We start from the raw sequence: 20240 nt of genomic DNA, 5'->3' as shown, positions 1-20240 counted from the left end.
ATGCACACATCACAAAGCTGTTTCTGCGAATGCTTCTGTCTAGTTTTTATGTGAAGATATACCATTTCCAAAGAAGGCCTCAAAGAGCTCCAAATAATTATAAGCAGATTCCACAAAAGGAGTGTTTCAAAACTGCGCTAACAAAAGAAAGGTTCAACTCTGTTACTTGAATGTACACATAACAAAAAAGTTTCTGAGCATGCTTCTGTCAAGTTTTTAGGTGAAGATATATTCTTTTTCACTTAGGTCTCAAATCGCTGCAAATATCCACTTGCAGATTCTGCAGAAAGACAGTTTCAAAACTGCTCTCTCAAAATGAAGGTTCAACTCTGAGATTTGAATGCACACATCACAAGGAAGTTTCTGAGAATGCTTCTGTCTAGTTTTTATTTGTAGATATTTCCTTTTCCACATACGGCCTCAAAGCACTCCAAATGAACACATGTATATTCTACAAAAAGAGTGTTTCAAAAGTGCTCTATGAAAAGAAAGGTTCAACTCTGTGAGTTGAATGCACACATTGGAAAGTAGTTTCTGAGAATGATTCTGTCTAGTTTTTATATAAAGATATTTCCTTTTGAACCATAGGCTTCAAAGCGCCTTAAATATCCACTTGGAAATTCTACAAAAAGAGTGTTTCAAAACTGCTCTGTCAAAAGTAAGTTTCAACTCTGTGAGTTGAAGACACACATCACAAAGAAGTTTCTGAGAATTCTTCTGTCTAGTTTTATATGAAGAACTCCCATTTCCAACGAAGGCCACAAACAGGTCGACATATCCACTTGCAGATTCTACAAAAACAGTGTTTCAAAACTGCTGTATCAACGGCAATGTTGAACTCTGTGAGTTAAATGCATACGTCACGAAGAAGTTTCTGAGAACCCTTCTGTCAAGTTTTTTTGTGAAGATATTTCGTTTTCTACCGTAAGCCTCTAAGCCCACTGAATACACACTTGCAAAATCTACAAAAAGAGTGTTTCAAAACTGCTCTATCAAAAGAAGGTTCAACTCTGTGAGTTGAGTGCAGACATCATAAAGAAGTTTCTGAGAATACTTCTGTCTACTTTTTATGTGAAGATATTAACGTTTCCAAAGAAGGCCTCAAAGCACTACAAATATCCACTTGCAGACTTTACAAACAGAGTGTTTCAAAAGCGCTCTATCAAAAGAAAGGTTAAACTCTGTGAGTTGAATGCACACATCAGAAAGTAGTTTCCGAGAATTATTCTGTCTAGTTTTTATATAAAGATATTTCCTTTTGTACCATAGGCTTCAAAGCGCCTTAAATATCCACTTGGAAATTCTACAAGAAGAGTGTTTCAAAACTGCTCTGTCTAAAGGAAGGTTCAACTCTGTGACTTGAATACAAACATCACAAAGAAGTTTCTGAGAATTCTTTTGTCTAGTTTTACATGAAGAAATCCCGTTTCCAACGAAGGCCACAAACAGGTCCAAATATCCACTTGCATATACTACAAAAACAGTGTTTCAAAACTGCTCTATCAAAGGGAATGTTGAAATCTGCGAGTTAAATGCAAACATCACAAAGAAGTTTCTGAGAACGTTTCTGTCTACTTTTTTTGTGAAGATACTTCATTTTCTACCGTAGTCCTCTAAGCCCACTGAATACACACTTGCAAAATCTACAAAAACAGTGTTTCAAAACTGCTCTATCAAAAGGAAGGTTCAATTCTGTGAGTTGAGTGCAGACGTCATAAAGAAGTTTCTGAGAATACTTCTGTCTACTTTTTATGTGAAGATATTAAAGTTTCCAAAGAAGGCCTCAAAGCACTCCAAATATTCACTTGCAGATTTACAAACAGAGTGTTTCAAAACTGCTCTATCAAAAGAAAGGTTAAAATCTGTGAGATGAACGCACACATCACAAACTAGTTTCTGAGAATGATTCTGTTTAGTTTTTATATGAAGAGATTTCCTTTTCTAATGTAGGCCTCCAAGCCCTGTCAATATTAACTTGGACACACTGCATAAAGAGTGTATCAAAACTGCTCAATTGAAAGGAAGGTTCAACTCTGTGAGTTGAATACACACTTCAAAAAGAAGTTTTTCAGAATTCTTCTGTCTAGTTTTATATGAAGAAATCCGGTTTCCAACGACGGCCTCAAAGAGGTCCAAATATCCACTTGCAGATTCTACAAAAAGAGTGTTTCAAATCTGCTCTATCAAGGGAAATGTTCAACTCTGTGAGTTGAACGCAAATATCACAAAGAAGTTTCTGAGAATGCTTCTGTCTAGCTTTTATATGAAGATATTTCCTTTTCTACCATAGGCCCCAAAGGCCTCCAAATACACACTTGTAAATTCTACACAAAAGTGTTTCAGAACTGCTCTATCAGAAGACAGGTTAAACCCTGTGAGTTGAACGTACACATCATAAAGTAGTTTCTAAGAATGATTCTGTCCAGTTTTTATGTGAAGATATTTCCTTTTGTATCATAGGGTTCAAAGCGCACTAATTCTCCACTTGGAAATTCCATAAGCAGAGTGTTTCAAAAGCGCTCTATCAAAAGGAAGGCTCAACTCTGTGAGTTGAATATACCCATTGCAAAAAGATTCTGAGAATTCTTCTATCCAGTTTGTATGCTAAGATATTCCCGTTTCCAACGAAGGCCTCAAAGAGGTCCAAATATCTACTTGCAGTCTTCACAAACAGAGTGTAACAAAACTGCTGTATCAAAAGAGAGGTTAAACACTGTGAGTTGAATGCACACATCACAAAGTAGTTTCTGAGAATATTTCTGCCCAGTTTTTATATGAAGATATTTCCTTTTCTACTGTAGGCCTCAAAGCGCTTTAAATTTCCACTTGCATATACTACAAAAAGAGTTTTTCAACACTGCTCTGTCAAAAGAAAGGATAAACTCTGTGAGTTGAACCCACACATCACAAAGTGGTTTCTGAGAATTATTCTGTCAAGTTTTTATATGAATATATTTCATTTTCTACCATAGGCTTCAAACCACTCTAAATATGCACTTGGAAATTCTACAAAAAAAGTGTTTCAAAACTGCTCTATTGAAAGGAAGGTTCAACTCTGTGAGTTGAATGCACACATCACAAAGAAGTTTCTCATAATTCTTCTGTCTAGATTTATATGAAGAAATCCCGTTTCCAATGAAGGACTCTTAGAGGTCCAAATATCCACTAGCACACTATACAAACTGAGTGTTTCAAAACTGCTCTATCAAAAGAAATGTTAAACTCTGAGTTGAATACCCACATAACAAGCAGTTTCTGAGAACGATTGTGCCTAGTTTTATATGAAGATATTCCTTTTTCTACTAGAGGCCTCTAAGCGCTTTAGATATCACTCGCATATTCTACACAAAGACTGTTTCAAAAATGCTCAGTCACAAGAAACGTTAAACTCTGTGAGTAGAACCCACACATCACAAAGAGGTTTCTGAGAATGATTGTGTCTAGTTTTTATATGAAGATATTTCATTTTCTACAATAGGCTTCCAAACACTATAAATATGCCCTTGGAAATTCTACAAAAAGAGTGTTTCAAAACTGCTCTATTGAAAGGAAGGTTCAGCTCTGTGGGATGAATGCACACATCACAAAGGAGTTTCTCAGAACTCTTCTGCCTAGAGTTAAATGAAGAAATCCCGTTTCCAGCGAAGGTCTTAAAGAGGTCAAAATATCCACTTGCAGACATGACAAACAGAGTGTTTCAAAACTGCTCTATCATAAGAAAGCTTAAACTCTGTGAGGCCAACGCACACATCACACAGTAGTTTCTGAGAATGATTATGTCTAGTTTTTATACAAAGATATATCCTTTTCTACCATAGGCCTCAAAGCACTTGAAATATCCACTTGCAAATCCAACAAAAAGAGTGTTTCAAAACTGCTCTGTCAAAAGGAACTTTCAACTCTGTGAGCTGAATACACACATCACACAGGAGTTTCTGAGAATTCTTCTGTCTGTTTTTGTATGAGGAAATCCCGTTTCCAACGAAGGGCTCAAAGAAGTCCAAATATCCACTTGCAGATTCTACAAAAAGAGTGTTGCAAAACTGCTCTATCAAAAGGAATGTTGAACTCTGTGACTTGAATGCAAACGCCACAAAGAAGTTTCTGAGAATGCTTTTGTCTAGATTTCATGTGAAGATATTTCCTTTTCTACCAAAGGCCCCAAAGCCCTCTAAATACACACTTCCAAACTCTGCAAAAAGAGCGTCACAAAACTGCTCTATCAAAGGAAATGTTAAACTCTGTGTGCTGAATGCACACATCACAAAGTGCTTTCTTAGAATGATTCTGTATAGATTTTATATGAAGATACTTCGTTTTCTACCAAAGGCTTCAAAGCACTCTAAATATGCTCTTGGAAATTCTACAAAAAGAGTGTTTCAAAACTGTTCTATCGAGAGGAAGGTGCAACTCTGTGAGTTGAATGTTCACATCACAAAGAAATTTCTGAGAATTCTTCTGTCTAGGTTTATACAAAAAATGCCCGTTTCCAACGAAGGCCTTGAAGAGGTCAAAATATCCACTTGCAGAATCAACAAACAGAGTGTTTCAAAACTGCTCCATCAAAAGAAAGCGTAAACTCTGTGAATTGAACGCACACATCACAAAGTAGTTTCTGAGAATGATTCTGTCTAGTATTTATACGAAGATTTATTCTTTTTGAACATAGGCCTCAAAGTGCTTTAAATATCGACAGGCATATTCTACAAAAAGAGTGTTTTAAAACTGGTCTATCGAAAGGAATGTTCAACTCTGTGAGTTGAATACCCACATCACAAAGGAGTTTCTCAGAATTCTTCAGTCTAGCTTTATATGAAGAAATCCCGTTTCCAACGAAGGCCTCAAAGAGATCCAACTATCCACTTGCAGACTTTACAAACAGAGTGTTTCAAAACTGCTCTATCAAAAGAAAGGTTAAACTCTGTGAGGCCAACGCATACATCACAAAGTAGTTTCTGAGAATGATACTGCCTAGTTTTTATATGAAGATATTTCCTTTTCAACTATAGGCCTCAAAGCGCTTAAAATGTCCACTTGCATATACTACAAAAAGAGTGTTTCAAAACTGCTCTGTCAAAAGAAAGGTTAAACTCTGTGACTCCAACCCACATATCACAAAGAGGTTTCTGAGAATGATCCTGTGTAGTTTTTATATGAAGATATTTCGTTTTCTACCACAGGTCTGAAAGCACTCTAAATATGCCCTTGGAAATTCTACAAAAAGAGTGTTTCAAAACTGCTCTATTGAAGGGAATGTTCAACCCTGTGAGTTGAATGAACACATCAGAAAGAAGTTTCTCAGAATTATTCTGTGTAGATTTACATGAAGAAATCCCGTTTCCAATGAAGGCTTCAAAGAGGTCTAAATATCCCCTTGCAGACATTACAAACAGAGTGTTTCAAAACTGCTCTATCAAAAGAAAGGTTAAACTCTGTGAGGTGAACGCACACATCACAAACTAGTTTCTGAGAAGGATTCTGTCTAGTTTTTATAAGAAGATATACACTTTTCTACCATAGGACTCAAAGCGCTTTAAATATCCACTTGCAAATCCCACAAAAAGAGTGTTTCAAAACTGCTCTATTGAAAGGAAGTTTCAACACTGTGAGATGAATGCACACATCACAAAGAAGTTTCTGAGAATTCTTCTGTCTAGTTTTATATGTAGAACTCCCATTTCCAATGAAGGCTTCAAAGAGGTCCAAATATCCACTTGCAGATTCTACCAAAAGAGTGTTTCAAAACTGCTCTATCAAAAGGAATGTTGAAACCTGCGACATGAATCCAAACATCACAAAGAAGTTTCTGAGAATGCTTCTGTCTAGTTTTTAAGTGAAGATATTTCCTTTGCTACCATAGGCCACAAAGCCCTCTAAATACACACTTGCAAATTCTACAAAAAGAGTGTTTCAAAACTCTTCTGTCAAAAGAAAGGTTAAACTCTGTGAGCTGAACGCACATATCACAAATTAGTTTCTGAGAATCATTCTGCCTAGTTTGTATATGAAGGTATTTCCTTTTCTACTGTAGGCCTCAAAGCGCTTTAAATATCCACTTGCATATTCTAGAAAACGAGTGTTTCAAAACTGCTCTATTAAAAGAAAGGTTAAACTCTGAGAGTTGAATGCCCACAACACAAACTGGTTTCTGAGAATGATTCTGTCTAGTTTTTATATGAAGATATTTGGTTTTCTACTATAGGCTTCAAAGCATTCTAAATATGCACTTGGAAATTCTACAAAAAGAGTGATTCAAAACTGCTCTATCAAAAGGAAGGTTCAACACTGTGAGTTGAACGTACTCATCACAAAGAAGTTTCTCAGAATTCTTCTGTTTAGTTTTATATGAAGAAATCCCGTTTCCAACTAAGGCCTCAAAGAGGTCCAAATATCCCCTTGCAGACATTACACACAGAGTGTTTCAAAACTGCTCTATCAAAAGAAAGGTTAAACTCTGCGAGTTGAATGCACACATCATAAAGTAGTTTCTGAGAATGATTCTGCCTAGTTTTTAAATGAAGATATTTCGTTTTCTACCATAGGCCTAAAAGCACTCCAAATATGTCCTTGGAAATTCTCCAAAAAGAGTGTTTCAAAACTGAGCTATCGAAAGGAAGGTTCAACTCTGTGAGTTGAATGCTCACATCACAAAGAAGTTTCTGTGAATTCTTCTGTCTAGATTTATATGAAGAAAGCCCGTTTCCAACGAAGGCCTTAAAGAGGTCAAAATATCCACTTGCAAACATTAAAAACAGAGTGTTTCCAAACTGCTCTATCAAAAGAAAGTTTAAACTCTGTGAATTCAAAGCACACATCACAAAGTAGTTTCTGATAATGATTCCGTCTAGTTTTTATGGGAAGATTTATCTTTTTCGACCATAGGCCTCAAAGCGCTTTAACTATCCACTTGCAAATCCTACAAAAAGACTGGTTCAAAACTGCTCTGACAAAAGGAAGTTTCAACTCTCTGAGCTGAATGCACACATCACAAAGGAGTTTCTGAGAATTCTTCTGTCTAGTTTTATATGAAGAAATCCCGTTTCCAACGAAGGCCTCAAAGAGGTCTAAATATCCACTTGCAGATTCTACAAAAAGAGTGGTTCAAAACTGCTCTATCAAAAGAAAGCTTAAACTCTGTGAGGAAAACGCACACATCACAATGTAGATTCTGAGAATGATTCTGTCTAGTTTTTATACGAAGATATTTCCTTTTCTACAATAAACCTCAAAGCGCTTGAAATATTCACTTGCAAATCCTACAAAAAGAGTGTTTCAAAACTGCTCTGTCAAAAGGAACTTTCAACTCTGTGGGCTGAATGCACACATCACAAAGGAGTTTCTGAGAATTCTTCTGTCTAGTTTTGAATGAAGAAATCCCGTTTCCAACGAAGGGCTCAAAGAGGTCCAAATATCCACTTGCAGATTCTACAAAAAGAGTGTTTCAAAACTGCTCTATCAAAAGGAATGTTGAACTCTGTGACTTGAATGCAAACGCCACAAAGAAGTTTCTGAGAATGCTTCTGTCTAGATTTCATGTGAAGATATTTCCTTTTCTACCATAGGCCCCAAAGCCCTCTAAATACACACTTCCAAATTCTACAAAAAGAGCGTTTCCAAACTGCTCTATATAAGGAAAGATAAAACTCTGTGTATTGAACGCACACATCACAAACTTGTTTCTGAGAATGATTGTGTCTAGTTTTTATATGAAGATATTTCGTTTTCTACCAAAGTCTTCAAAACACTCTAAATATGCTCTTGGAAATTCTACAAAAGGGTGTTTCCAAACTGTTCTATCGAAAAGAATGTTCAACTCTGCGAGTTGAATGCACACATCCCAAAGACGTTTCTCAGAATTCTTCTGTCTACTTTTATATGAAGAAGTCCCATTACCAAAGAAGACCTCAAAGAGGTCCTAATATCCACTTGCAGAATTAACAAACAGAGTGTTTCAAAACTGCTCTATAAAAAGAAAAGTTAATCTCTGTGAGTTGAACGCACACATCACAAAGTAGTTTCTGAGAATGGGTCTGTCTAGTTTTTATATGAAGATATTTCCATTTCTCCTATAGGCCTCAAAGTGCTTTAAATATCAACTTGCATATTCTACAAAGAGAGTGTTTCAAAACTGACCTATCGAAAGGAATGTTCAACTCTGTGAGTTGAATACACACATCACAAAGTAGTTTCTGAGAATTCTTCCTTCTAGTTTTATATGAAGAAATCCCGTTTCCAACGAAGGCCTCAAAGAGGTCCAAATATCCACTTGCAGACTTTACAAACAGAGTGTTTCAAAACTGCTCTATCAAAAGAAAGGTTAAACTCTGTGAGTTGAATGCCCACATCACAAGTAGTTTCTGAGAACGATTTTGCCTAGTTTTTATATGAAGATATTTCTTTTTCTACTGAGGCCTCAAAGCGCTTTAAATATCCACTTGCATATTCTACAAAAAGACTGTTACAAAACTGCTCGGTCACAAGAAACGTTAAACTCTGTGAGTTGAACCCACACATCACAAAGAGTTTTCTGTGAATGATTGTGTCTAGTTTTTATATGAAGATATTTCTTTTTCTAACATAGGCTTCAAAACACTCTAAATATGCCCTTGGAAATTCTACAAAAAGAGTGTTTCAGAACTGCTCTATCAAAAGGAAGGTTCAACACTGTGAGATGAATGCCCAAATCACAAAGGAGTTTCTCAGAACTCTTCTGTCTAGAGTTAAATGAAGAAATCCCATTTCCAACGAAGGCCTTAAAGAGGTCAAAATATCCACTTGCAGACATGACATACAGAGTTTTTCAAAACTGCTCTATCAAAAGAAAGCTTAAACTCTGTGAGGCCAATGCACTCATCACAAAGTAGTTTCTGAGAATGATTCTGTCCAGTTTTTATATGAAGATATATCCTTTTCTACCATAGGCCTCAAAGCACTTGAAATATCCACTTGCAAATCCTACAAAAAGAGTGTTTCAAAACTGCTCTGTCAAAAGGAAATTTCAACTCTGTGAGCTGAATGCACACATCACAAAGGAGTTTCTGAGAATTCTTCTGTCTAGTTTTGTATGAACTAATCCCGTTTCCAACGAAGGGCACAAAGAGGTCCAAATATCCACTTGCAGATTCTACAAAAAGAGTGTTTCAAAACTGCTCTATCAAAAGGAATGTTGAACTCTGTGACTTGAATGCAAACGCCACAAAGAAGTTTCTGAGAATGCTTCTGTCTAGATTTCATGTGAAGATATTTTCTTCTCTACCATAGGCCCCAAAGCCCTCTAAATACACACTTCCAAATTCTACAAAAAGAGCGTTTCCAAACTGCTCTATCAAAGGAAAGGTTAAACTCTGTGTGCTGAATGCACACATCACAGAGTGGTTTCTCAGATTGATTGTGTCTAGTTTTTGTATGCAGATATTTCGTTTTCTACCAAAGGCTTCAAAGCACTCTAAATATGCTCTTGGAAATTCTACAAAAAGAGTGTTTCCAAACTGTTCTATCCAAAGGAAGGTTCATCTCTGTGGGTTGAATGCACACATTCCAAAGAAGTTTCTGAGAATTCTTCTGTCTAGTTTTATATGAAGAAGTCCCGCTTCCAACGAAGGCCTCAAAGAGGTCCTAATATCCACCTGCAGAATTCACAAAGTGTTTCAAAACTGCTCTATAAAAAGAAAAGTTAAACTCTGTGATTTGAACCCAAACATCACAAAGTAGTGTCTGATAATGGTTCCGTCTAGTTTTGTATTAAGATATTTCCTTTTCTACTATAGGCTTCAAAGCGCTTTAAATATCAACTTGCATATTCTACAAAAAGAGTGTTTTAAAACTGATATATCAAAAGGAATGTTCAACTCTGTGAGTTGAATACCCACATCACAAAGGAGTTTCTGAGAATTCTTATGTCTAGCTTTATATGAAGAAATCCCGTTTCCAACGAAGGCCTCAATAGTTCCAAATATTCACTTGCAGCCGTTACAAACAGAGTGTTCCAAAACTGCTCTATCAAAAGAAAGGTTAAACTCGGTGAGGCCAACGCATACATCACAAAGTAGTTTCTGAGAATGATACTGCCTAGTTTTTATATGAAGATATTTCCTTTTCAACTATTGGACTCAAAGCGCTTAAAATATCCACTTGCATATTCTTCAAAAAGAGTGTTACAAAATTGCTCTGTCAAAAGAAAGGTCAAACTCTGTGACTTGAACCCACATATCACAAAGAGGTTTCTGAGAATGATCTTATATAGGTTTTATATGAAGATATTTTGTTTTCTACCACAGGCCTGAAAGCACTCTAAATATGCCCTTGGAAATTCTACAAAAAGAGTGTTTCAAAACTGCTCTATCGAAGGGAATGTTCAACCCTGTGAGTTGAATGAAAACATCAGAAAGAAGTTTCTCAGAATTCTTCTGTCTAGATTTACATGAAGAAATCCCGTTTCCAACGAAGGATTCAAAGAGGTTCAAATATCCACTTGCAGATATTACAAACAGAGTGTTTCAAAACTCCTCTCTCAAAAGAAAGGTTAAACTCTGTGAGTTGAACGCACACATCACAAAGCACTTTCTGAGAATGATTCTGTCTGGTTTTTACACTAAGATATTTCCTTTTCTGCAATTGCCCTCAAATCGCTTGAAATATCCACCTGAAAATTCCACAGCAAGAGAGTCTGAAATCTGCTGTCTGTAAAGCAAGGTTCAACTCTGTGAGCTGAATACACACAACACAAACAAGTTACTAAGAACTCTTCTGTCTAGCATAAATGAAGAAATACCGTTTGCAACGAAGGCCTCAAAGAGGTCCAAATATCCACTTGCAGACATTTCAAGCAGAATGTTTCTAAACTGCTCTGAGAAAAGAAAGGTTAAGCTCTGTGAGTTGAAGGCACACATCACAAAGTAGTTTCTGAGAATGATTCTGTCTAGTTTTTATTTGAAGATATTTCCTTTTCTACTGTTGGCATCAAATTGCTTGAAAAATCCACTTGCAAATTCCACAAAAAGAGTGTTTCAAATCTGCTCTGTCTAAAGGGACGTTTCACTCTGTGAGTTGAATACACACAACAGAAAGAAGTTAATGAGAATTCTTCTGTCTAGCATTAAATGAAGAAATCCCTTTTCCAAAGAAGGCCTCAAAGCGGTCCATATATCCACTTGCAGAATTTACAAACAGAGTGTTTCCAAACTGCTTTATGAAAAGAAAGGTTAAAGGATGTGAGTTGAATGCACACATCACAAAGAATTTTCTGAGAATGATTCTGTCTAGTTTTTATTTGAAGATATTTCCTTTTCTACTGTTGGCATCAAATCGCTTGAAATCTCCACTTGCAAATTCCACAAAAAGAGTGTTTCAAATCTGCTCAGTCTAAAGGGACGTTCCACTCTGTGAGTTCAATGCACACAACACAAAGAATTTACTGAGAATTCTTCCGTCTAGCATTATATGACAAAATCCCGTTTCCAACGAAGGCCTCAAAAAGGTCCAAGTATCCACTTGCAGACTTTACAAACAGAGTATTTCCAAACTGCTCTATAAAAAGAAAGGTTAAACTCCGTGAGTTGAACGCACACATCACAAAGCACTTTCTGAGTATGATTCTGTCTGGTTTTTATACGAAGATATTTCCTTTTCCGGAATTGTCCTCAAATCGCTTGAAATCTCCACCTCAAAATTCCACAGCAAGAGTGTTTCAAATCTGCTCTGTCAAAACGAAGGTTCAACTCTGTGAGTTGAATCCACATAACAAAAAGAAGTTACTGAGAATTCTTCTGTCTAGAACTCAATGAAGAAATCCCGTTTCCAACGAATACCTGTAAGAAGTGCAAATATCCACTTGCAGGATTTACAAAGAGTGTGTTTCCAAACTGCTCTATGAGTAGAAAGGTTAAACTCTGTGAGTTGAACGCACACATCACAAAGCACTTTCTGAGTATGATTCTGTCTGGTTTTCATACGAAGATATTTCCTTTTCTGCAATTGTCCTCAAATCCCTTGAAATCTCCAACTGAAAATTCCACAGCAAGAGTGTTTCAAATCTGCTCTCTCTAAAGCAAGGTTCAATTCTGTGAGTTGAATACACACAACACAAATAAGTTACTGAGAACTCTTCTGTCTAGCATTAAATAAAGAAATCCCGTTTGCAACGAAGGCCTCAAAGAGGTCCAAATATCCACTTGCAGACATTACAAGCAGAGTGTTTCTAAACTGCTCTAAGAAAAGTTAAACTCTGTGAGTTGAATGCATACCTCACAAAGTGGTTTCTGTTAATTACTCTGTCTAGTTATTATTTCCAGATATTTCGTTTTCCACCGTTAGCAACAAATCGCTTGAAATCTCCACTAGCCAATTCCACAAAAAGAGTGTTTCAAATCTGCTCTGCTTTAAGGGACGTTCCACTCTGTGAGTTGAATACACACAACACAAACAAGCAACTGAAAATTCTTCCGTCTTGCATTATATGAAGCAATCCCGTTTCCAACGATATCCTCCAAGAGGTCCAAATATCCACTTGCAGACATTACAAACAGAGTGTTTCCAAACTGCTCTATGAAAAGAAAGGTTAAACAATGTGAGTTGAACGCACACATCACAAAGTAGTTTCTGAGAATAATTCTGTCTAGTTTTTATTTGAAGATATTTCCCTTTCTACTGTTGGAATAAAATCGCTTGAAGTCTCCACTTGCAAATTCCGCAAAAAGAGTGTTTCAAATCTGCTCTGTCTAAAGGGACGTTCCACTCTGTCAGTTGAATGCACACAACACAAAGAATTTACTGAGAATCCTTCCGTGTAGCATTATATGAAAAAATCCCGTTTCCAGGGAAGGTCTCAAAGAGGTACAAATATCCACTTGCAGACTTTACAAACAGTGTGTTTCCAAACTGCTCTATGAAAAGAAAGGTTAAACTCTGTGAGTTGAATGCACACATCACAAAGTGGTTTCTGTTAATTATTCTGTCTAGTTTTTATTTGAAGATATTTCGTTTTCTACCATTGGCACCAAATCGCTTGAAATCTCCACTAGCCAATTCCGCAAAAAGAGTGTTTCAAATCTGCTCTGTTTTAAGGGACGTTCCACTCTGTGAGTTGAATACACACAACACAAACAAGTAACTGAAAATTCTTCCGTCTTGCATTATATGAAGCAATCCCGTTTCCAACGAAATCCTCCAAGAGGTCCAAATATCCTCTTGCGGACATTACAAACAGAGTGTTTCCAAACTGCTCTATGAAAAGAAAGGTTAAACAATGTGAGTTGAACGCACACATCACAAAGTAGTTTCTGAGAATAATTCTGTCTAGTTTTTATTTGAAGATATTTCCCTTTCTACTGTTGGAATAAAATCGCTTGAAATCTCCACTTGCAAATTCCGCAAAAAGAGTGTTTCAAATCTGCTCTGTCTAAAGGGACGTTCCACTCTGTCAGTTGAATGCACACAACACAAAGAATTTACTGAGAATCCTTCCGTGTAGCATTATATGAAAAAATCCCGTTTCCAGGGAAGGTCTCAAAGAGGTACAAATATCCACTTGCAGACTTTACAAACAGTGTGTTTCCAAACTGCTCTATGAAAAGAAAGGTTAAACTCTGTGAGTTGAATGCACACATCACAAAGTGGTTTCTGTTAATTATTCTGTCTAGTTTTTATTTGAAGATATTTCGTTTTCTACCGTTGGCACCAAATCGCTTGAAATCTCCACTAGCCAATTCCGCAAAAAGAGTGTTTCAAATCTGCTCTGTTTTAAGGGACGTTCCACTCTGTGAGTTGAATACACACAACACAAACAAGTAACTGAAAATTCTTCCGTCTTGCATTATATGAAGCAATCCCGTTTCCAACGAAATCCTCCAAGAGGTCCAAATATCCTCTTGCGGACATTACAAACAGAGTGTTTCCAAACTGCTCTATAAAAGAAAGGTTAAACAATGTAAGTTGAACGCACACATCACAAACTAGTTTCTGAGGATAATTCTGTCTAGTTTTTATTCGAAGATATTTCCTTTTCTACTGTTGGCAACAAATCGCTTGAATTCTCCAATTTCAAATTCCACAAAAAGAGTGTTTCAAATCTGCTCTGTCAAAACGAAGGTTGAACTCTGTGAGTTGAATCCACATAACACAAAGAAGTTACTGAGAATTCTTCTGTCTAGCACTGAATGAAGAAAAACCGTTTCCAACGAAGACCTGTAAGAAGTGCAAATATACTCTTGTAGACATTACAAATAGAGTGTTTCCGAATAGCTCTATGAAAAGAAAGGTTAAACACTGTGAGTTGAAAGCACACATCACAAAGCAGTTTCTGATTATGATTCTGTCTTGTTTTTCTACGAAGATATTTCCTTTCGTGCAATTGTCCTCAAATCACTTGAAATCTCCACCTGAAAATTCCACAGCAAGAGTGTTTCAAATCTGCTCTCTCTAAAGCAAGGTTCAACTCTGTGAGTTGAATACACACGACACAAATAAGTTACTGAGAACTCCTCTCTCTAGCATCAAATGAAGAAATCCCGTTTGCAACGAAGGCCTCAAAGAGGTCCAAATATCCACTTGCAGACATTACAAGCAGAGTGTTTCTAAACTGCTCTAAGAAAAGAAAGGTTAAACTCTGTGAGATGAAGGCACACATCACAAAGGAGTTTCTGAGAATGATTCTGTCTAGTTTTTATTTGAAGATATTTCCTGTTCTACTGTTGGCATCAAATCGCTTAAAATCTCCACTTCAAATTCCACAAAAAGAGTGTTTCAAATCTGCTCTGTCTAAAGGGACTTTCCACGCTGTGACTTGAATACACACAACACAAAGTAGTTACTGAGAATTCTTCTGTCTAGCATGAAATGAAGAAATCCCGTTTCCAACGAAGACCTCAAAGCGGTCCATATACCCACTTGCAAACTTTACAAACAGAGTGTTTCCAAGCTGCTCTATGAAAAGAAAGGTTAAACTATGTGAGTTGAACGCACACATCACAAAGAATTTTCTGAGAATGATTCTGTCTAGTTTTTCATGAAGATATTTCCTTTTCTACTGTTGGCATGAAATCGCTTGAAACCTCCACCTACAAATTCCACAAAAAGTGTGTTTCAAATGTGCTCTGTCTAAAGGGACGTTCCACTCTGTGAGTTGAATGCACACAACACAAAGAATTTACTGAGAATTCTTCCGTCTAGCATTATATGAAAAAATGCCTTTTCCAACGAAGGCCTCAAAGAGGTCCAAATATCCACTTGCAGAATTTACAAAGAATGTGTTTCCAAACTGCTCTATGAGTAGAAAGGTTAAACTCTGTGAGTTGAACGCACACATCACAAAGCACTTTCTGAGTATGATTCTGTCTGGTTTTTATACGAAGATATTTCCTTTTCTGCAATTGTCCTCAAATCGCTTGAAATCTCCACCTGAAAGTTCCACAGCAAGAGTGATTCAAATCTGCTCTCTCTAAAGCAAGGTTCAATTCTGTGAGTTGAATACACACAACACAAATAAGTTACTGAGAACTCTTCTGTCTAGCATTAAATGAAAAAATCCGGTTTGCAACGAAGGCCTCAAAGAGGTCCAAATATCCACTTGCAGACATCACAAGCAGAGTGTTTCTAAACTGCTCTGAGAAAAGAACGGTTAAACTCTCTGCATTGAAGGCACACATCACAAAGTAGTTTCTGAGAATGATTCTGTCTAGTTTTTATTTGAAGATATTTCCTTTTCTACTGCTGGCATCAAATCGCTTGAAATCTCCACCTGCGAATTCCACAAAAAGAGTGTTTCAAATCTGCTCTGTGTAAAGGGACGTTCCACCCTGTGAGTTGAATACACACAACACAAAGAAGTTACTGAGAATTCTTCTGTCTAGCATTAAATGAAGAAATCACGTTTCCAAAGAAGGCCGCAAAACGGTCCATATATCTACTTGCAGACTTTACAAACAGAGTGTTTCCAAACTGCTGTATGAAAAGAAATGTTAAACTATGGGAGTTGAACGAACACATCACAAAGAATTTTCTGAGAATTATTCTGTCTAGTTTTTATTTGAAGATAATTCCCTTTCTACTGTTGGCATCAAATTGCTTGAAATCTCCACTTGCAAATTCCACAAAAACAGTGTTTCAAATCTCCTGTGTCTAAAGGGACGTTCCACTCTGTGAGTTGAATCCACACAACACAAAGTATTCACTGAGAATTCTTCCGTCTAGCATTATATGAAAAAATCCCATTTCCAATGAAGGCCTCAAAGAGGTCCAAATATCCACTCGTAGATTTTACAAACAGTGTGTTTCCAAACTGCTCTATGAAAAGAAAGGTTAAACTCCGTGAGTTGAACGCACACATCACAAAGCACTTTCTGAGAATGATTCTGTCTGGTTTTTATACGAAGATATTTCCTTTTCTGCAATTGTCCTCAAATCGCTTGAAATCTCCACCTGAAAATTCCACAGCAAGAGTGTCTCAAATCTGCTCTCTCTAAAGCAAGGTTCAACTCTGTGAGTTGAATACACACAACACAAAAAAGTTACTGAGAACTCTAATTAGTCTAGCATTAAATGAAGAAATCCGGTTTGCAACGAAGGCCTCAAAGAGTTCCAAATATCCACTTGCAGACATAAGAAGCAGAGAGTTTCTAAACTGCTCTAAGAAAAGAACGGTTAAACTCTGTGAGTTGAAGGCACACATCACAAAGTAGTTTCTGAGAATGATTCTGTCTAGTTTTTATTTGAAGATATTTCCTTTTCTACTGCTGGCATCAAATCGATTGAAATGTCCACTTGCAAATTCCACAAAAAGAGTGTTTCAAATCTGCTCTGTCTAAAGGGACGTTCCACTCTGTCAGTTGAATACACACAACACAAAGAAGTTAATGAGAATTCTTCTGTCTAGCATTAAATGAAGAAATCCCGTTTCCAACGAATGCCTCAAAACTGTCCATATATCCACTTGCAGATTTTACAGTGTGTTTCTAAACTGCTCTATGAAAAGAAAGGTAAACTATGTGAGTTGAACGCACACATCACAAAGAATTTTCTGAGAATGATTCTGTCTGGTTTTTATTTGAAGATATTTCCCTTTCTACTGTTGGCATCAAATGGCTAGAAATCTCCACTTGGAAATTCCGCAAAAAGAGTGTTTCAAATCTGCTCTGTCTAAAGGGACGTTCCACTCTGTGAGTTGAATGCACACAACACAAAGAATTTACTGAGAATTCTTCCGTCTAGCATTCAATGAAGAAATCCCGTTTCCAACGAAGGCCTCAAACAGGTCCATATATCCAATTGCAGACTTTACAAACAGTGTGTTTCCAAACTCCTCTATGAAAAGAAAGGTTAAACTCTGTGAGTTGAACGCACACATCACAAAGCACTTTCTGAGAATGATTCTGTCTAGTTTTTATTTGCAGATATTTCCTTTTCTATTGTTGGCAACAAATCGCTTGAAATCTCCACTTGCAAATTCCACAAAAAGAGTGTTTCAAATCTGCTCTGTGTAAAGGGACGTTCCAGTTTGTGAGTTTAATACACACAACACAAAGAAGTTACTGAGAATTCTTGTGTCTAGCATGAAATGAAGAAATCCCGTTTCCAACGAAGGCCTCAAAGCGGTCCATATATCCACATGCACACATTACCAACAGAGAGTTTCCAAACTGCTCTATGAAAAGAAAGGTTAAACTATGTGAGTTGAACGCACACATCACAAAGAATTTTCTGAGGATGATTCTGTCTAGTTTTTATTTGAAGATATTTCCCTTTCTACTGTTGGCATCAAATGGCTAGCAATCTCCACTTGCAAATTCCGCAAAATGAGTGTTTCAAATCTGCTCTGTCTAAATGGACGTTCCACTCTGGGAGTTGAATGCACACAACACAAAGAATTTGCTGAGAATTCTTCCGTCTAGCATTCAATGAAGAAATCCCGTTTCCAACGAAGGCCTCAAACAGGTCCATATTTCCACTTGCAGACTTTACAAACAGTGTGTTTCCAAACTCCTCTATGAAAAGAAAGGTTAAACTCTGTGAGTTGAACGCACACATCACAAAGCACTTTCTGAGAATGATTCTGTCTGGTTATTATACGAAGATATTTCCTTTTCTGCAATTGTCCTCAAATCGCTTGAAATCTCCACCTGAAAATGCCACAGCAAGAGTGTTTCAAATCTGCTCTCTCTAAAGCAAGGTTCAACTCTGTGAGTTGAATACACACAACACAAAAAAGTTCCTGAGAACTCTTCTTAGTCTAGCATGAAAGGAAGAAACCCCGTTTGCAACGAAGCCCTCAAAGAGGTCCAAATATCCACTTGCAGACATAACAAGCAGAGTGTTTCTAAACTGCTCTAAGAAAAGAAAGGTTAAACTCTGTGAGTTGAAGGCACACATCACAAAGTAGTTTCTGAGAATGATTCTGTCTAGTTTTTATTTGAAGATATTTCCTTTTCTACTGTTGGCATCAAATCGCTTGAAATCTCCACTTGCAAATTCCACAAAAAGAGTGTTTCAAATCTGCTCTGTGTAAAGGGACGTTCCACTCTGTGAGTTGAATACACACAGCACAAAGAAGTTACTGAGAATTCTTCTGTCTAGCATGAAATGAAGAAATCCCGTTTCCAACGAAGGCCTCAATGCGGTCCATATATCCACTTGCAGACTTTACAAACAGAGTGTTTCCAAACTGCTCTATGAAAAGAAAGGTTAAACTATGTGAGTTGAACGCACACATCACAAAGAATTTTCTGAGAATGATTCTGTCTGGTTTTTATTTGAAGATATTTCCCTTTCTACTGTTGGCATCAAATGGCTAGAAATCTCCACTTGCAAATTCCGCAAAAACAGTGTTTCAAATCTGCTCTGTCTAAAGGGACGTTCCACTCTGTGAGTTGAATGCACACAACACAAAGAATTTACTGAGAATTCTTCCGTCTAGCATTATATGATAAAATCCCGTTTCCAACGAAGGCCTCAAACAGGTCCATATATCCAATTGCAGACTTTACAAACAGTGTGTTTCCAAACTCCTCTATGAAAAGAAAGGATAAACTCTGTGAGTTGAACGCACACATCACAAAGCACTTTCTGAGAATGATTCTGTCTTGTTTTTATTTACAGATATTTCCTTTTCTACTGTTGGCATCAAATCGCTTGAAATCTCCACTTGCAAGTTCCACAAAAAGAGTGTTTCAAATCTGCTCTGTGTAAAGGGACGTTCCAGTCTGTGAGTTGAATACACACAACACAAAGAAGTTACTGAGAATTCTTCTGTCTAGCATGAAATGAAGAAATCCCGTTTCCAACGAAAGCCTCCAAGCGGTCCATATATCCACTTGCAGACATTACCAACAGAGTGTTTCCAAACTGCTCTATGAAAAGAAAGGTTAAACTATGTGAGTTGAAAGCACACAACACATAGAATTTACTGAGAATTCTTCCGTCTAGCATTATATGTTAAAATCCCGTTTCCACCGAAGGTCTCAAACAGGTCCATATATCCACTTGCAGACTTTACAAACAGTGTGTTTCCAAACTCCTCTATGAAAAGAAAGGTTAAACTCTGTGAGTTGAACGCACACATCACAAAGCACTTTCTGAGAATGATTCTGTCTTGTTTTTATTTGCAGATATTTCCTTTTCTACTGTTGGCATCAAATCGCTTGAAATCTCCACTTGCAAATTCCACAAAAAGAGTGTTTCAAATCTGCTCTGTGTAAAGCGACGTTCCAGTCTGTGAGTTGAATACACACAACACAAAGAAGTTACTGAGAATTCTTCTGTCTAGCATGAAATGAAGAAATCCCGTTTCCAACGAAAGCCTCAAAGCGTTCCATATATCCACTTGCAGACGTTACCAACAAAGTGTTTCCAAACTGCTCTATAAAAAGAAAGGTTAAACTATGTGAGTTGAACGCACACATCACAAAGAATTTTCTGAGGATGATTCTGTCTAGTTTTTATTTGAAGATATTTCCCTTTCCACTGTTGGCATCAAATGGCTAGAAATCTCCACTTGCAAATTCCGCAAAAAGAGTGTTTCAAATCTGCTCTGTCTAAAGGGACGTTCCACTCTGTGAGTTGAATGCACAAAACACAAAGAATTTACTGAGAATTCTTCCGTCTAGCATTATATGATAAAATCCCGTTTCCAACGAAGGCCTCAAACAGGTCCATATATCCACTTGCAGACTTTACAAACAGTGTGTTTCCAAAGTCCTCTATGAAAAGAAAGGTTAAACTCTGTGAGTCGAACGCACACATCACAAAGCACT

General features: G+C 37.1%; 20 annotated features.

Moving 5' to 3' along the window:
* Positions 337-948: an enhancer, noted in NCBI's record as "OCT4-NANOG hESC enhancer chr7:61986633-61987244 (GRCh37/hg19 assembly coordinates)". NCBI's record gives its function as "activates a minimal SCP1, AML or CMV promoter by ChIP-STARR-seq in naive H9 embryonic stem cells {active_cell/tissue: H9 hESC(naive)}" and the evidence as "EXISTENCE:reporter gene assay evidence [ECO:0000049][PMID:30033119]".
* Positions 1050-1652: an enhancer, noted in NCBI's record as "OCT4-NANOG hESC enhancer chr7:61985929-61986531 (GRCh37/hg19 assembly coordinates)". NCBI's record gives its function as "activates a minimal SCP1, AML or CMV promoter by ChIP-STARR-seq in naive H9 embryonic stem cells {active_cell/tissue: H9 hESC(naive)}" and the evidence as "EXISTENCE:reporter gene assay evidence [ECO:0000049][PMID:30033119]".
* Positions 5725-6252: an enhancer, noted in NCBI's record as "OCT4-NANOG hESC enhancer chr7:61981329-61981856 (GRCh37/hg19 assembly coordinates)". NCBI's record gives its function as "activates a minimal SCP1, AML or CMV promoter by ChIP-STARR-seq in primed H9 embryonic stem cells {active_cell/tissue: H9 hESC(primed)}" and the evidence as "EXISTENCE:reporter gene assay evidence [ECO:0000049][PMID:30033119]".
* Positions 8001-8688: an enhancer, noted in NCBI's record as "OCT4-NANOG hESC enhancer chr7:61978893-61979580 (GRCh37/hg19 assembly coordinates)". NCBI's record gives its function as "activates a minimal SCP1, AML or CMV promoter by ChIP-STARR-seq in primed H9 embryonic stem cells {active_cell/tissue: H9 hESC(primed)}" and the evidence as "EXISTENCE:reporter gene assay evidence [ECO:0000049][PMID:30033119]".
* Positions 8689-9376: an enhancer, noted in NCBI's record as "OCT4-NANOG hESC enhancer chr7:61978205-61978892 (GRCh37/hg19 assembly coordinates)". NCBI's record gives its function as "activates a minimal SCP1, AML or CMV promoter by ChIP-STARR-seq in primed H9 embryonic stem cells {active_cell/tissue: H9 hESC(primed)}" and the evidence as "EXISTENCE:reporter gene assay evidence [ECO:0000049][PMID:30033119]".
* Positions 10648-11569: an enhancer, noted in NCBI's record as "OCT4-NANOG hESC enhancer chr7:61976012-61976933 (GRCh37/hg19 assembly coordinates)". NCBI's record gives its function as "activates a minimal SCP1, AML or CMV promoter by ChIP-STARR-seq in primed H9 embryonic stem cells {active_cell/tissue: H9 hESC(primed)}" and the evidence as "EXISTENCE:reporter gene assay evidence [ECO:0000049][PMID:30033119]".
* Positions 11612-12307: an enhancer, noted in NCBI's record as "OCT4-NANOG-H3K27ac hESC enhancer chr7:61975274-61975969 (GRCh37/hg19 assembly coordinates)". NCBI's record gives its function as "activates a minimal SCP1, AML or CMV promoter by ChIP-STARR-seq in primed H9 embryonic stem cells {active_cell/tissue: H9 hESC(primed)}" and the evidence as "EXISTENCE:reporter gene assay evidence [ECO:0000049][PMID:30033119]".
* Positions 12308-13004: an enhancer, noted in NCBI's record as "OCT4-NANOG-H3K27ac hESC enhancer chr7:61974577-61975273 (GRCh37/hg19 assembly coordinates)". NCBI's record gives its function as "activates a minimal SCP1, AML or CMV promoter by ChIP-STARR-seq in naive and primed H9 embryonic stem cells {active_cell/tissue: H9 hESC(naive and primed)}" and the evidence as "EXISTENCE:reporter gene assay evidence [ECO:0000049][PMID:30033119]".
* Positions 13120-13656: an enhancer, noted in NCBI's record as "OCT4-NANOG hESC enhancer chr7:61973925-61974461 (GRCh37/hg19 assembly coordinates)". NCBI's record gives its function as "activates a minimal SCP1, AML or CMV promoter by ChIP-STARR-seq in naive and primed H9 embryonic stem cells {active_cell/tissue: H9 hESC(naive and primed)}" and the evidence as "EXISTENCE:reporter gene assay evidence [ECO:0000049][PMID:30033119]".
* Positions 14230-14764: an enhancer, noted in NCBI's record as "OCT4-NANOG hESC enhancer chr7:61972817-61973351 (GRCh37/hg19 assembly coordinates)". NCBI's record gives its function as "activates a minimal SCP1, AML or CMV promoter by ChIP-STARR-seq in naive and primed H9 embryonic stem cells {active_cell/tissue: H9 hESC(naive and primed)}" and the evidence as "EXISTENCE:reporter gene assay evidence [ECO:0000049][PMID:30033119]".
* Positions 15438-15939: an enhancer, noted in NCBI's record as "OCT4 hESC enhancer chr7:61971642-61972143 (GRCh37/hg19 assembly coordinates)". NCBI's record gives its function as "activates a minimal SCP1, AML or CMV promoter by ChIP-STARR-seq in primed H9 embryonic stem cells {active_cell/tissue: H9 hESC(primed)}" and the evidence as "EXISTENCE:reporter gene assay evidence [ECO:0000049][PMID:30033119]".
* Positions 15971-16544: an enhancer, noted in NCBI's record as "OCT4-NANOG-H3K27ac hESC enhancer chr7:61971037-61971610 (GRCh37/hg19 assembly coordinates)". NCBI's record gives its function as "activates a minimal SCP1, AML or CMV promoter by ChIP-STARR-seq in naive and primed H9 embryonic stem cells {active_cell/tissue: H9 hESC(naive and primed)}" and the evidence as "EXISTENCE:reporter gene assay evidence [ECO:0000049][PMID:30033119]".
* Positions 16545-17120: an enhancer, noted in NCBI's record as "OCT4-NANOG-H3K27ac-H3K4me1 hESC enhancer chr7:61970461-61971036 (GRCh37/hg19 assembly coordinates)". NCBI's record gives its function as "activates a minimal SCP1, AML or CMV promoter by ChIP-STARR-seq in naive and primed H9 embryonic stem cells {active_cell/tissue: H9 hESC(naive and primed)}" and the evidence as "EXISTENCE:reporter gene assay evidence [ECO:0000049][PMID:30033119]".
* Positions 17086-17335: a silencer, noted in NCBI's record as "fragment chr7:61970246-61970495 (GRCh37/hg19 assembly coordinates)". NCBI's record gives its function as "represses an EF-1alpha promoter that drives an FKBP-Casp9 reporter gene in an ReSE screen in phorbol 12-myristate 13-acetate-treated (for megakaryocytic differentiation) K562 erythroleukemia cells {active_cell/tissue: K562(+PMA)}" and the evidence as "EXISTENCE:reporter gene assay evidence [ECO:0000049][PMID:32094911]".
* Positions 17086-17694: a biological region, named in NCBI's record as "OCT4-NANOG-H3K27ac-H3K4me1 hESC enhancer GRCh37_chr7:61969887-61970460".
* Positions 17121-17694: an enhancer, noted in NCBI's record as "OCT4-NANOG-H3K27ac-H3K4me1 hESC enhancer chr7:61969887-61970460 (GRCh37/hg19 assembly coordinates)". NCBI's record gives its function as "activates a minimal SCP1, AML or CMV promoter by ChIP-STARR-seq in naive and primed H9 embryonic stem cells {active_cell/tissue: H9 hESC(naive and primed)}" and the evidence as "EXISTENCE:reporter gene assay evidence [ECO:0000049][PMID:30033119]".
* Positions 17695-18270: an enhancer, noted in NCBI's record as "OCT4-NANOG-H3K27ac-H3K4me1 hESC enhancer chr7:61969311-61969886 (GRCh37/hg19 assembly coordinates)". NCBI's record gives its function as "activates a minimal SCP1, AML or CMV promoter by ChIP-STARR-seq in naive and primed H9 embryonic stem cells {active_cell/tissue: H9 hESC(naive and primed)}" and the evidence as "EXISTENCE:reporter gene assay evidence [ECO:0000049][PMID:30033119]".
* Positions 18271-18844: an enhancer, noted in NCBI's record as "OCT4-NANOG-H3K27ac-H3K4me1 hESC enhancer chr7:61968737-61969310 (GRCh37/hg19 assembly coordinates)". NCBI's record gives its function as "activates a minimal SCP1, AML or CMV promoter by ChIP-STARR-seq in naive and primed H9 embryonic stem cells {active_cell/tissue: H9 hESC(naive and primed)}" and the evidence as "EXISTENCE:reporter gene assay evidence [ECO:0000049][PMID:30033119]".
* Positions 18845-19420: an enhancer, noted in NCBI's record as "OCT4-NANOG-H3K27ac-H3K4me1 hESC enhancer chr7:61968161-61968736 (GRCh37/hg19 assembly coordinates)". NCBI's record gives its function as "activates a minimal SCP1, AML or CMV promoter by ChIP-STARR-seq in naive and primed H9 embryonic stem cells {active_cell/tissue: H9 hESC(naive and primed)}" and the evidence as "EXISTENCE:reporter gene assay evidence [ECO:0000049][PMID:30033119]".
* Positions 19421-19994: an enhancer, noted in NCBI's record as "OCT4-NANOG-H3K27ac-H3K4me1 hESC enhancer chr7:61967587-61968160 (GRCh37/hg19 assembly coordinates)". NCBI's record gives its function as "activates a minimal SCP1, AML or CMV promoter by ChIP-STARR-seq in naive and primed H9 embryonic stem cells {active_cell/tissue: H9 hESC(naive and primed)}" and the evidence as "EXISTENCE:reporter gene assay evidence [ECO:0000049][PMID:30033119]".

Source organism: Homo sapiens, chromosome 7 (assembly GCF_000001405.40).
Source record: "Homo sapiens chromosome 7, GRCh38.p14 Primary Assembly".
Lineage (NCBI taxonomy): Eukaryota > Metazoa > Chordata > Mammalia > Primates > Hominidae > Homo > Homo sapiens.
The sequence above is the reverse complement of the archived record's forward strand: the minus strand, read 5'-3'. Positions and strand labels throughout refer to the sequence as shown.